General features: G+C 38.0%; 1 protein-coding gene and 1 further gene across 1 annotated transcript in view; both read right to left on the bottom strand.

The window, feature by feature from the left end:
- The window catches only part of UGT1A8 (UDP glucuronosyltransferase family 1 member A8), a 155,668-nt gene extending 150,819 nt beyond the window's left edge, over positions 1-4,849 (bottom strand). Inside the window, exon 1 of the mRNA NM_019076.5 lies at positions 3,920-4,849. Within this exon, the coding sequence (NP_061949.3) occupies positions 3,920-4,774 (855 nt within the window). The 5' untranslated portion in view covers positions 4,775-4,849. The remainder of the gene's footprint in view (positions 1-3,919) is intronic.
- Positions 1-12,830, bottom strand: part of UGT1A (UDP glucuronosyltransferase family 1 member A complex locus) — a 187,861-nt gene that overhangs the window by 150,818 nt on the left and 24,213 nt on the right.

The following is a 12,830-nucleotide window of genomic DNA, read 5'->3' as shown; positions in this document are numbered from 1 at the left end:
CTGGTCATCACAGAAATGCAAATCAAAACCACAATGAGATATCATCTCATGCCAATTAGAATGGCGATCATTAAAAACTCAGGAAAGAACAGATGCTGGAGAGGATGTGGAGAAATAGGAACGCTTTTACCCTGTTGGTGGGAGTGTAAATTAGTTCAACCATTGTGGAAGACAGTGTGGCAATTCCTCAAGGATCTAGAACTAGAAATACCATTTGACCCAGTGATCCCATTACTGGGTATATACCCAAAGAATTATAAATCATGGTACTATAAAGACACATGCACACGTATGTTTATTGCAGCACTATTCACAACAGCAAAGACTTGGAACCAACCGAAATGTTCATCAATGATAGACTGGATTAAGAAAATGTGGCACATATACACCATGGAATACTATGCAGCCATAAAAAAGGATGAGTTCATGTCCTTTGCAGGGACATAGATGAAGTTGGAAACTATCGTTCTCAGCAAACTATCACAAGGACAGAAAATCAAACAGTGCATATTCTCACTCGTAAGTAGGAGTTGAACAATGAGAACTCATGGATACAGGGAGGGGAACATCGCACACTGGGGCCTGTCATGGGGTGGGGGGCTGAGGAAGGGATAGCATTAGGAGAAATACCTAATGTAAATGATCAGTTGATGGGTGCAGCAAACCAACATGACACATGTGTACCTATGTAACAAACCTTTACGTTGTGCACATGTACCCTAGAACTTAAAGTATAATTTAAAAAAAGATTGACACAAATTTCTCTTTAAAAGTTTTCTTTAAAAAGACAGAAAAAAGGGATAGATGAATCAGTTCAGCAAAATAGTGAAAATTATTTAACCTAAGATTGATATATGGGTGGTCATGACACTAAGTCTCTCCTTTGTATAGGTTGGAAAACTTTGAAAATAAATACTTGAAGTAAACAATTTTAGTGGGAGGCCTTAGTCTTGTCCACCAAAAGCTAACTTTGAATTTGGATCTTAAACTGGAGCCAGAAACTTAGAGGAATGGGGGAAGCACAGATCTTTTCTTGCTCTGTAACCATATTCCATCCCCAGGTCTGCAGAGCTGAACCTACCATGGATGGTATAGACGAAGCCCGAATTCTTTTCACCTAAAACCAGTCATCAATTCTGTTGGAACTCACCAAAAATTCAAAGAGACTAGGAGTGACTTCCTCTTTTTCTCATTAAAACTATTTCGCTGTTCTGCTGAATTATTTACACATCTTTAATCAACACACACACATTGGAATACTGAAATGTAAAACAATGACCATACCAAAAGATAAAGTTTAAAAGTTTATCCCCTCCAAATCTCACGTTGAAATTTGATCCCTGACGTTGGAGATGGGGCCATCTGCCATCTTTGTTAAAGTATTTAATTACATCCCTGGATGTAATTCTCCTGGATAGACTCAAGGAGATTTTGTTACAGGAGATCTTCAAGAAATCCCCTGTGCAGGGTCTGGGACACTGCACGCAAACACACCTGCACATACACAAACACATACATGTGCAAACACATACTCTATCACTAAGTAATGCTTCCTTCTCATCAGGCAGATGAGACTCACACTCTGAATCTTGTTTCCCAGCAAGATGTAACCAACTGCATGCTTTTCCCAGACATATCCTGGCATCTGAAACAAGGAAGGAGCAATACGCAGTGTCCATCCTTCTTTCGATGACAGTTGACTTTTACTTTTGTGGTTGGGCCATATCCAAGGCTCTTTGACAGAAAGCCCTCTTTCAGATCTGAATTCCTCTGTGAGAATTCTGCTGGCTTTATGCATATAATCATAAATATATACATTAATACACATAACCTTCTGCAAGTATAAAAACTTTCATACATATATATTCTTTAATAGATATAGAAACACATTTATTTCATATCTCATAAAAGATTTATAATCAAAATAACTGAAACCATGTAGAGTTTAATGTTTCCTTTTTTTATGGATATCTCCCTATCGTAGGTGATATAAAATCATATATACTTTTTTATATCTCTAAAGGCCTCTGGGTGACCCCTTGGGCCACAATAAACTCAGTGTGGGTTCAGGAAGTGGCAGAGCCTCACACTCGGCCAAAGGGTGTAGGGTGCAGGCAACACATGGGTGGTGCTTGGTACTGTAATTAATGGAGGATAATGAGGAGAAAAGTGCTTTGATACGTCCAACCTCTTAGAGTCCTGCAACTTGCATCTCTTCACCTGATCTTGCCGTGAGCTGAAAGTCATGCCTAATTTTGAAAGGCCTACAACTGTAGTCTTCCTGCTTTTTAGAAAGAGCATTATTTCACTTTCCTGTGAGATGGCTGAACGGTCACTCTTTCACCAACCATCTGCCAATGACAGATATGACTGTTACAAAGTCTACTGAACCTTATAAGAAGCCAGAACAATAGACAAAAATGTATACTCCATCCCTAATAAAATAATATAATGAGATGAGACACCAGGTGTTTCATCTGGATTTAGCAACTATGCGTTTGCCAAGAATCTTATTCTGGTATTTTTCAAGGATTTTTCAGTCACAAGCTACCAAATCCCTATTTAAACTGGCTACTCTAACAATATTACTCAATAATGTTTTGGAAGTATATGCTCCAGCAAAGCAAAAGAAGCAGTATAAATATCAGAGAAGGGAATTACTTGCAGATGGTATTGCATATTGTACATCTAATGCATACTACAAAATAATAAGAAAAGTTAGTAATGTGGCTGGATACAAGATACATACGCAAAAACCAAAACTTTAATTACCAATAGTCAGTTAATTGTAGAAATGGAAAAATTACCCTGTAAAAAAATAGTTTCAAAAATCATAAAATGCCAAGGAATAAATGTTAATAACAAACATAAATGCTTATATAGTGAAAATTTTTATTTATGTATATAAAACAAGACCTGAATAAATAGTGAGACACACATATTCCTGAACAGGAAGATATAATAGCAAAAAGATGCCAATCTTCTCAATTCAGGAAAACCCTCTAACCCTACATGTAGGACTCTAGTCTACTAAGATAAAAGCAAGAATATAGAAATATATTCACACAAGGAAATTATTAAAGAATGTTTACACAGCCTTATTCATAAAAGCAAAAATGGAAAATGCCTAAACATATATCAATATTAATTGGTTTAAAAAACTACATAGCATCCAAAGTAAAGACTTTTATGCAATTATGAAAAGAACTTGTCAAATCTGTCTGTATTGGTGTATAAAGGAATCTACAATTTATTGGCAAATAAAAAATGCAAGGTAAAGAAGAATATGTCCAGCACAGCATAAAAGTTTATTTTAACAAAATAGGTATGAGAATTTACATTAGATATTGCATATAAATGAAACTTTTTTTATACTGAAAAGAATATACACAAAACTGATAAGAGCATTTCCTCTAGGGGTCAGAAAACTTAGGAAAAAGGGGAGTTTCATTTCTTGCTGTGGTTTTTGGTACTTTTCTAAACACGGTACTCAAAAACGTGGGCTAAATATGATCTATAATTTTTAAATTAAATATATACACCTAAAATACTTTTTTTAATGAAAAGAATGTATGCAAAACTGCTAAGAGCATTTGCTCTAGGGGGTCACATAGAATTAGCAAAAAAGGAAAGTTCAATTTCTTACTGTGGTTTTTGGTACTTTTCTAAACATGGTACTCAAAAATGTAAGCTGAATACGATCTACAATTTTTAAATTATATACACACACCTTCAAGAAGGGCAGTTTTATAAAATTTGATAACTGATGAGTACATAAATTGGCACAAAATAATCTGTTAAACTGGAAAGAAATTTGAAATGCAACAAATGAAAATGTCAAATCACAATTCAGTAAGGAATCTTTTTTTAATTTCCAAAGCCAGATTATTCCTAATGTGCTAAAGGAGAGGTGACTTACCATAGGCAATGGCTTTCCCTGATGGCAGTTGATACCACCAATGAAGATCATATTGGGCATCACGGGTTTGGGATAGTCCAAAACAAAGTCTGTTCGCAACAACCAAATTGATGTGTGGCTGTAGAGATCATATGCTGTGACAGGTGTTTGGAGAATTTCAGAGGCTATTTCTAGGGCATTTTTGGAAAAATACTGGCAAAATAAATGTTCCTCCAAGTGCATGATGTGGTTCCGTACTCTCTCCTTGAAAGTCATGGCATCTGAGAACCCTAAGAGAATTCTGGGGACATAGGAAAGAGGAGCAGGGCACTGTGCACCTTCTTCAAGATAGTGGCAAGCTATTCCCCTGGCGAAGACCACAGAGGGGAGGGAGAAATATTTGGCAACAATTAAGCCACAGGCATCAAAAGGATCAAGAAACACCGCATCAAAAGAACTCTCCTTTAAGTATTCTACTAATTTTCGGTCATTAAACAAACTCCTGCAATGCGAAAAAAATAAGTTAAAAAAACCATTGGATGAACTCAGAAATAGAGAAAACAAACTTCGTACTTGTGCTTTCCATTGAGCATCGGCGAAATCCATGAATTCCCGGTCCAGATCCTCCAGAGTGTATGAGGTTGAGTAAGTCTTCACTGTGCAATTCAGTGATTTTCCCAGTTGCCAACTCACCTCTGGCATGACTACAACCACCTCATGCCCCCTGAGGATAAGTTTCTCCACCACCGACTGCATGGTGAACCAGTGACTCCCATCCATGGGCACTACCAGCAGCTTCCCTGCCTCAGCAAAGCCACAGGTCAGCAGCAGAGAAACACATAGGGGAATGGGGCTGGTCCACCCTGTGCGAGCCATGAGAGAACTGCAGCCCGAGCCAGCAGCTGGGATTCTAAGCTGCTATGATACAGTAGGCGGAAGAACTACAGGCACAAAACCTGACCCCAATAGAGGGCGTGTATTTATCCTGTCATAAAAAAAAAAAAAATCACACTCACTGCCAATGATTTACTCATAAGAACAGGAATACATGAGTATCATTTTTTGAGATACCTACTTGTATGTATCTCATAAGAGTACTATAAGAGTAGCTTATAGTCTCTGCCTTGGACAGATCATGCCCAGTGCTGTAACGTGAGTTTAGAAACAAAATTACTAAGCAATGCTTTAGGACCTTGAAGATTCAGAAAGATAAAGTGAAAGTAAATTTGAATAAAGCTAATATTTTTGGAATTCATCCCAAAGCAAAATTTAGATTTTAACTTTAGCCAACCAAATACTCTCTGTCCAGAAAGAAATTGGTATCCTATGTTCCAAGGAAAGACAGCAAGGCCCCTTAGCACCGACTTCCCAGCTGGCAAGAAATTGGGGCTCACCTGCATCTCTGCAATGCATAATCATTGCTGGTTGTCTTCTGCCATATCCAAACCCTGAGAGGCCTCTGAAATGCCGAAATGACATTGACAACCCTGCCTCCATGGACCATACCAGGGACTTGATGGAAAGTGACCATCACCTATTTTAATGACTTTCCTCAGATACATCACATGCAGTGGGGAGTCTCTAGCCCAGTCTTTGTGCGAGCACTCTGCCGGGCTGCCTTTCTGTGGCCGCTCTACTTCCACATTCTAAACATGCCATCAATCCAGTGCCCTCCTTCAGGAAAATATGTACTTGTCTCCCTCAGTCTACTGGGCACTCCCTGAGGTCAGTGGTGATGTCATCTTTGTGTTTTTACCCTCCTTTCACAGTAGCCATGCTATGCCTTTGATATAATTTGTATGTTTGTCCCCTCCATATATCATGGTCAAATATAATCCCCAGAGTTGAAGGTGAAGCATGGTGGGAGATGTTTGGATCATGGGCATGGTTCCCTCATGAATGGCTTGGCACTGTCCTCCCAATAGTGAGTGATTTCTCAGGAGATCTGGTTGTTTAAACGTATGTACCAAAAACACTCTTTAGGATATTATCCAGGAGAACTTCTCCAGGCTAGCAAGACAGGCCAACATTCAAATTCAGGAAAAACAGAGAACACCACAAAGACACTCCTCGAGAAAAGCAACCCCAAGACACAGAATCATCAGATTCATTAAGGTTAAAATGAAGGAAAAAATGTTAAGGGCAACCAGAGAGAAAGGTCTGGTTACCCACAAAGGTAACCCATCAGACTAAAAGCAGATATCTCTGCAGAAACCCCACAAGCCAGAAGACAGTGGGGGCCAATATTCAACATTCTTAAAGAAAAGAATTTTCAACCCAGAATTTCATATCCAGCCAAACTAAGCTTCATAAGTGAAGGAGAAATAAAATCCTTTACAGACCAGCAAATGCTGAGAGATTTTGTCACCACCAGGCCTGCCTTAAACAAGAGCTCCTGAAGGAAGCACTAAATATGGAAAGGAAAAATGAGTACCAGCCACTGCAAAAACATACCCAGTTGTAAGGACAATTGACACTATAAAGAAACTGCATCAACTAGTGGGCAATATAACCAGCTAGCATCATAATGACAGGATCAAATTCACACATAACAATATTAACCCTAAATGTAAATGGGCTAAATGCCCCAATTAAAAGACACAGACTGGCAAATTGGATAAACAGTCAAGACCCATCGGTGTGCTGCACTCAGGAGACCCATCTCACGTGCAAGACACACATAGGCTCAAAATAAAGGGAGGGAGGAATATTTACCAAGCAAATGGAAAGAAAAAAAAAGCAGGGGTTGCAATCCTAGTCTCTGATAAAATAGACTTTAAATGAACAAAGATCAAAAAAGACAAAGAAGGGCATTACATAATGGTAAAGAGATCAATGCAACAAGAAGTGCTACCCATCCTAAGTACATATGCACCCAATACAGGAGCACCCAGATTCATAAAGCAAGTTCTTACAGACCTACAAAGAGACTTAGACTCCCATACAATAACAGTGGAAGACTTTAACACCCCACTGTCAATATTAGATAGATCAATGAGACAGAAAAGTAGCAAGGATATTGAGGACCTGAACTCAGCTCTGGATCAAGCAGACCTACTAGACATCTACAGAATTCTCCACCCCAAATCAACAGAATATACATTCTTCTCATCACCACACTGCACTTATTCTAAAATTGACCACATAATTGGAAGTAAAACAGTCTCTCAGACCACAGAGCAATCAAATTAGAACTCAGGATTAAGAAACTCACTCATAACCACACAACTGCATGGAAACTGAGCAACTTGCTCCTGAATAACTACTGGGTAAATAATGAAATTAAGGCAGAAATAAATAAGCTCTTTGAAACCAATGAGAACAAAGACACAACGTACCAGAATCTCTGGGACATGGCTAAAGCAGTGTTTAGAGGGAAATTTATAGCACTAAATGCCCACAGGAGAAAGCAGGAAAGATCTAAAATCAAAACCCTAACATCACAATTAAAAGAACTAGAGAAGCAAGAGCAAACAAATTCAAAAGCTAGCAGAAGACAAGAAAAAACTAAGATCAGAGCAGAACTGAAGAAGATAGAGACACAAAATATTTTCAAAAAATCAATGAATCCAGGAGCTGGTTTTTTGAAAAGATTAACAAAATAGATAGACCACTAGCCAGACTAATACAGAAGAAAAGAGAGAAGAATCAAATAGACACAATAAAAAATGATAAAAGGGAGATCACCACTGATCCGAGAGAAATACAAACTACCATCAGAGAATACTATAAACACCTCTATGCAAATAAACTAAAAAATCTTGGAGAAATGGATAAATTCCCGGACTCATACACCCTCCCAAGGCTAAACCAGGAAGAAGTCGAATCCCTGACTAAACCAATAACAGGTTCTGAAATTGAGGCAGTAATTAATAGCCTACCAACCAAAAAAAGCCCAGGACCAGATGGATTCACAGCCTAATTCTACCAGAGGTACAAAAAGGAGCTGGTTCCATTCCTTCTGAAACTATTCCCAACAATAGAAAAACAGAGACTCCTCCATAACTCATTTTATGAGGCCAGCATCATCTTGATACCAAAACCTGGCAGAGACACAACAACAACAACAAAAAAGTTCAGACCACTATCCCTGATGAACATCAATGGTGAAAATCCTCAATAAAATACTGCCAAACCAAATCCAGCAACACATCAACAAGCTTATCCACCATGATGAAGTTGGCTTCATCTCTGGAATGCAAGGCTAGTCCAACATATGCAAATCAATAAACGTAATCCATTACATAAACAGAACCAATGACAAAAAACACATGATTATCCTCATAGATGCAGAAAAGACCTTCAACAAAATTCAACAGCCCTTCATGCTAAAACCTCTCAATAAACCAGGTATTGATTGAACATATCTCAAAATAATAGGAGTATTTTATGACAAACACACAGCCAATATCATACTGAATGGGCAAAAGCTGGAAGCATTCCCTTTGAAAACTGGCACAAGATAAGGATGCCCTCTCTCACCACTCCTATTCAACATAGTATTGGAAGTTCTGGCCAAGGTAATCAGGCAAGAGAAAGCAATATAGGGATTCAAATAGGAAGAGAGGAAGTCAAATTGTCTCTGTTTGCAGATGACATGATTGTATATTTAGAAAACCCCATCATCTCAGCCCAAAATCTCCTTAAGCTGATAAGCAACTTCAGAAAAGTCTCAAGATACAAAAATCAATGTGCAAAAATCACAGGCATTCCTATACACCAATAACAGAAAAACAGAGCCAAATCATGAGTAAACTCCCATTCACAATTGCTACAAAGAGAATAAAATACCTAGGAATACAACTTACAAGGGATGGGAAGGACCTCTTCAAGGAAAACTACAAACCACTGCTCAAGTAAATAAGGGAGGACACAAACAAATGGAAAAACATTCCACGCTCATGGATAGGAAGAATCAATATCGTGAAAATGGTCATACTGTCCAAGGTAATTTATACATTCAATGCTATCCCCATCAAGCTACCATTGAATTTCTTCACAGAATTGGAAAAAAACTACTTTAAAGTTCATATGGAACTAAAAAAGAGCCAGTATAGCCAAGACAATCCTAAGCAAAAAGAACAAAGCTGGAGGCATCACGCTACTTGACTTCAAACTATACTACAAGACTACAGTAACCAAAACAGCATGGTACTTGTACCCAAACAGATATATAGACCAATGGAACAGAACAGAGGCCTCAGAAATTATGCCACACATCTACAACCATCTGACCTTTGACAAACCTGACAAAAACAAGAAATGGGGAAACGATTCCCTATTTAATAAATGGTGTTGGGAAAACTGGCTAGCCATTTGTAGAAAACTGAATCTGGACCCCTTCCTTACACCTTATACAAAAATTAACTCAAGATGGATTAAAGCCTTAAACATAAGACCTAAAACCATGAAAACCCTAGAAGAAAACCTAGGCAATAACCATTCAGGACATAGGCATGGGCAAAGACTTCATAACTAAAACACCAAAAGCAATGGCAACCAAAAGCCAAAATTGACAAATGGGATCTAATTAAACCAAAGAGCTTCTGCACAGCAAAAGAAACTATCATCAGATGGAACAGGCAACTTAAAGAATTGGAGAAAAGTTTTGCAACCTATCCATCTGACAAAGGGCTAATATCCAGAATCTAAAAGGAACTTAAACCAATTTACAAGAAAAAAACAACCCCATCAAAAAGTGCGCAAAGGATATGAACAGACACTTCACAAAAGAAGACATTTATATGACCAGCAAACATATCAAAAACAGCTCATCATCACTGGTCATTAGAGAAATGCAAATCAAATCCACAATGAGATACCATCTCATGCCAGTTAGAATGGCGATCATTAAAACTCAGGAAAGAACAGATGCTGGAGAGGATGTGGAGAAATAGGAACACTTTTACACTGTTGGTAGGAGTGTAAATTAGTTCAACCATTGTGGAACACAGTGTGGCGATTCCTCAAGGATCTAGAACCAGAAATATCATTTGACACAGCAATCCCATTACTGGGTATATACCAAAGGGCTTATAAATTATTCTACTATAAAGACGCATGCACACGTGTGTTTATTGCAACACTATTCGCAACAGCAAGGATGTGGAACCAACTCAAATGCCCATCAATGATAGACTGGATAAAGAAAATGTGGCACATATACAACATGGAATACTATGCAGCCATAAAAAAGGATGAGTTCATGTCCTTTGCAGAAACATGGATGAAGCTGGAAACCATAATTCTCAGCAAACTAACACAGGAACACAAAACCAAACACCGCATGCTCTCACACATAAGTTGGAGTTGAACAATGAGAACGCATGGACACAGGGAGGGGAACATCGCACACCAGGGCCTGTCGGGGGGTGGGGGGGTCTAGGGGAGGGATAGCTTAGGAGAAACACCTAATGTAGATGTCAGGTTGATGGGTGTAGCAAACCACCATGGCACGTGTATACCTGTGTAACAATGTTCTGCACATATATCCCAGAACTTAAAGCATTTAAAAAGAAAGAAAAGTGTAAGAGCAGGAAAAAAAAAATGCATGTGGCACCAGGGCATATGTTTACCTATGTAACAAACCTGAACATCTTCCACATGTACCCCAGAAATAAAAATTAAAATTAAAAAGAAAGTATGTGCCATCTCTCCTGTCTCTCTCTTGCTCCTGCTCTTGCCATGTGACACACCAGCTCCCCATCACCTTCTGTCATGATTGTAAGCTTCCTGAGGCCTCACCAGAAGCAGATGCTAGCACTGTGTTTCGTATAAAGGCTGCAAAACTGTGAGCCAATTAAACCTTTTTTCTTTATAAATTACCCAGCCTCAGGTATCCTTTACAGCAATCCAAACAGACAAATACAGCCTTGCACAAAGAAAATCAACCGTAATATTTGTTGCACTGGACAGAATTATATTCTGCAGGTTTTCTTGATACCTTCATGGACGAGCTAAGCAGTGTGTGTCAGGCAACACCTTAAAGAACATTTAGTGAGAGATTCCACAAACAACCTCGGGGTATAATCCTTGTAGGAGTACAAGATGGCTCCTTTCAGGACACCCTAACTGGTACTAGACATTTGCTTAGTCATCTTTTCTTTTGGTGACTGGGGCACTTGCAGATGACTGTCCTTGAAAAATAAACATGACGGTCAGTGATCTACCTTCCCTGGAGGCTTACTTCAGAATAGAAATCAATGAAATGGAAAATGCGTTTAAAAAATGGCAAAATTAATTAAACCAAAGCTGGTTTGTTGAGAAAATTAATGAAACCAAAGCTGGTTTGTTGAGATCAATTAATTTGGTAAAGCTCTAGCCACCTTGATCTGAAAAAAAAAAGAGAGAAGAAATAAATTATCAATATCAGGAATGAGAGAGGTGGTATCACCATAGATTCTACAGATATTAAAATGCTAAGAGAATATCATGAACAAATTTATGCCCAAAAAATCTACAACTTAGATGAAATGGGCACATTTTGTTAAAGAGACAAACTGCTAGACTATTCACAAGAATAAATACATAACCCCAATAGAACTAACCTGTATCTGTCGAATTGAATTTGTATTTGTAATTCAAACCTTCCCACACGAAACAAAGTGAAGCTCAGATGACATCACTAATGAATCCAGCAAACATTGAAGGAACAAATAATACCAATTATTCACAAACTAGTCCCAAAAACTGAAGCCTAGGGGATTTCCTAATACATTTTATGGGACCAGCATTATCACAGTACCAAAACCAGACAAAGATATTATGAGATAAAAAAATTACAGACCTTCATGGCCTTAGATTCAAAAATTTTAAACAAAATATTATTAAGTCAAATTCTGTAATATTTTAAAATAGTTACTACATAAAAAAAATTATACACCATAACCAAATGGGGTTTATCCTAGGAATGCAAGGCTGGTTTGACATGGTACCACTATGTTCATAGCAACATAACTCACAAGAGCCCAGCCTGTAAGTGGAAACAACCCAAGCAAAAATGTGGTGTATATATACGGAATGCAATATTATTAGCCTTAGAAAGGAAGAAAATTCTGACATATGCTAACATGAATGAACTTTAAGGACATTGTGCAGAGTGAACTAAGCTAGTCACAAAACGACAAATGCTTTATGATTCTACTTATATGAGGTATCTAAAATAGTCAAATTCATAGAATAAAAGAGTTGAATGCTTGTTGACAAGGGCTGAGAGGTGGGGGGAGCAGAGAATTATTTTTTAAGGGGTCCAAAGTTTCAGTTTGGGAAGATGAAGAGAGTTCTGGAGATGAATGGTGGTGTTGGTTGCACAGCAACGTGAATGTACTCAATACTGAACTGTGCACCTAAAGTGGTGAAGATGATATATCTTATGCTATGTGTATTTCACCACAATTAATGATAAAATAAATAATTTTTATAAATCATTTAAAGTAACATACCATATAAATAAACTAAAAATGTATAAGCATATAATTACCTCAATAGGTATGGAAAAAGTGTTTGACAAAAATCCAAAATCCATTTCTGATAAAAAAAAAATTCTCAACAAACTAGGGGAAAAAAAGGGAAGTATCTTAAACTAATGAAGGGCATCTTGGAGGAACCCACAGCTAACATCATCTTTAATAGTGAAAGACTGAATGCTCACTCCTCAGATCATGCCAAGGACTGAGGGGCTGTTACCGCTTCTATTCAAGATTGTTTCTGCAGGCTACTAACCGTAACCCTAATCTAAGGAAGAGAGGCAAACACAAGGATTCAGGGCAAGAAGGGATAAACTAACTCTACTGCTTTGTGTAAATGCCATTGGATTTACAAATAGGACTGCCCGCATCTATAAACCTGCTAGCCTCCACACCTTGAAGGGAAAAGATCAATACCCACTACCAGCTTTTTTGTTGTACAAGAAAGCCTCGACAAGAACACTTCT

This window comes from Homo sapiens, chromosome 2, assembly GCF_000001405.40.
Source record: "Homo sapiens chromosome 2, GRCh38.p14 Primary Assembly".
NCBI classification, from domain to species: Eukaryota; Metazoa; Chordata; class Mammalia; order Primates; family Hominidae; genus Homo; species Homo sapiens.
This window is presented reverse-complemented; position numbering and strand designations above follow the sequence as displayed.